This window comes from Homo sapiens, chromosome 1, assembly GCF_000001405.40.
Source record: "Homo sapiens chromosome 1, GRCh38.p14 Primary Assembly".
Classification (NCBI taxonomy): Eukaryota; Metazoa; Chordata; class Mammalia; order Primates; family Hominidae; genus Homo; species Homo sapiens.
The window spans coordinates 158,754,268-158,756,618 of NC_000001.11; the positions used below are offsets into that span (position 1 = coordinate 158,754,268).

Genomic DNA, 2,351 nt, shown 5'->3' on the forward strand with positions numbered 1-2,351 from the left:
GCACTGTTGCTTGTTTCCTTCCAAAGCCTGCCTCTCCTATCTACCTTCCTCACAGTTTAAGGTGCAAGGCAGAGGCATCCTTTAAAAATTAATTTTCCTAGTCTGACAGGAGAATTTCTTGAACCCGGGAGGCGGAGGTTGTGGTGAGGCAAGATTGAGTCATTGCACTCCAGCCTGGGCAATAAGAGCAAGGCTCCATCTCAAAAAATAATAATAATAATTAATTTTCCTAGTCTGAAATGCATTTATTTGTATCTGCTTTTGACCTATTGAAGAAACCATGTCAGCTTTCTCACCTCACACCCGGGACAGACAGACGTTAAAAAATGACCAAACCTACAGAAAATATTTCCAGATAATGAAATTTGAGTATTGCTTTGCTTTTTGCACATCAGTTGAAGATGTTTACTAGAAAAAAAAAAGGTCATTCAGGGGTCCAACAGCAAGTATTTCAGATGATTTTGGCATGGAGGTAAAGCTTAAGAGATATTTCTAACTGGTTTCTTCAGGATTCCAGAATCAGCTTGAGTAACTCATTACAGAAAGGAATGAAGCAATATTCAGTGGGTAATCAACATTCCAATTATAGGAGTCTCTTGTTTCCTTTTCTGTGTTCACAGATGACACAGTTGACGGCCAGTGGGAATCAGACAATGGTGACTGAGTTCCTCTTCTCTATGTTCCCGCATGCGCACAGAGGTGGCCTCTTATTCTTTATTCCCTTGCTTCTCATCTACGGATTTATCCTAACTGGAAACCTAATAATGTTCATTGTCATCCAGGTGGGCATGGCCCTGCACACCCCTTTGTATTTCTTTATCAGTGTCCTCTCCTTCCTGGAGATCTGCTATACCACAACCACCATCCCCAAGATGCTGTCCTGCCTAATCAGTGAGCAGAAGAGCATTTCCGTGGCTGGCTGCCTCCTGCAGATGTACTTTTTCCACTCACTTGGTATCACAGAAAGCTGTGTCCTGACAGCAATGGCCATTGACAGGTACATAGCTATCTGCAATCCACTCCGTTACCCAACCATCATGATTCCCAAACTTTGTATCCAGCTGACAGTTGGATCCTGCTTTTGTGGCTTCCTCCTTGTGCTTCCTGAGATTGCATGGATTTCCACCTTGCCTTTCTGTGGCTCCAACCAGATCCACCAGATATTCTGTGATTTCACACCTGTGCTGAGCTTGGCCTGCACAGATACATTCCTAGTGGTCATTGTGGATGCCATCCATGCAGCGGAAATTGTAGCCTCCTTCCTGGTCATTGCTCTATCCTACATCCGGATTATTATAGTGATTCTGGGAATGCACTCAGCTGAAGGTCATCACAAGGCCTTTTCCACCTGTGCTGCTCACCTTGCTGTGTTCTTGCTATTTTTTGGCAGTGTGGCTGTCATGTATTTGAGATTCTCAGCCACCTACTCAGTGTTTTGGGACACAGCAATTGCTGTCACTTTTGTTATCCTTGCTCCCTTTTTCAACCCCATCATCTATAGCCTGAAAAACAAGGACATGAAAGAGGCTATTGGAAGGCTTTTCCACTATCAGAAGAGGGCTGGTTGGGCTGGGAAATAGATACAGATCCTGGAGACTCTAAAAAGCCTCTTGGAAGAGCAAAATTTCACTGTTATTTATCTTTTCCATGTCTATCCTCTTTCTGTATTGCTGCAACTACTTGTTCTATTATTTTTAAAAAGAATGATAAACTGCTGTATACAGGCTGTGGATGGTAAGTGGATGGCCAGTTTACATCAATGCCTCTACCATGCTTGTTATAGCTGAAGCAGTATAGATCAACTCTCTTGCTTTTAACACAGGTTGGCTTCCTCCTCGCACTCCAGCAGCTAGGCCCCTGCTAGTCTCTTCAGTGCTCTGACATGCTAGTGGGGCCGGGAAGCAGAATAGAAGAGGCATGACAGACAAGAAAGTTCTGAGAATTGCTACTGCTAACTTCCCCAATTCCCTTTCTGGAAATGCATCCCCTGTCATTTGGCATTCCATATAAATAAATCGTTTCCTGATACTAGAGAGAGGTCTTCTCTACTTTTAGCTCATTTAATTCCCAAACTCATTTCAGCAAACGTGAACTGATTTTGTACATGATGTGTTACAGAATTTTAGACCCCAAGAGGTTCCACCAAAATTAATAACAATAACAGTCCACTATATGTCTTGAGCACATTACTATTTAAAATATTTTCACAGGTATAAATCCTCTTGAAATCTAAAATACCCTGAAGTAAATAGGTCAGGGATCACTATTATTTAAATGTTGAAACTAAAGCTCACAGAAGTTAAAGACTGGCCTAAGGTCATATACGTAGTGACAGAGCTGGGATTTAACCT

General features: G+C 42.3%; 1 protein-coding gene across 1 annotated transcript; it reads left to right on the top strand.

The window, feature by feature from the left end:
• Window positions 1-452: 452 nt before the first annotated feature.
• On the top strand, window positions 453-1,624 carry OR6K6 (olfactory receptor family 6 subfamily K member 6). The gene has a single exon (NM_001005184.2). It carries the CDS (start codon window positions 621-623, stop codon window positions 1,578-1,580), a length of 960 nt encoding a protein of 319 aa, NP_001005184.2. The 5' UTR covers window positions 453-620; the 3' UTR covers window positions 1,581-1,624.
• Window positions 1,625-2,351: the final 727 nt, after the last annotated feature.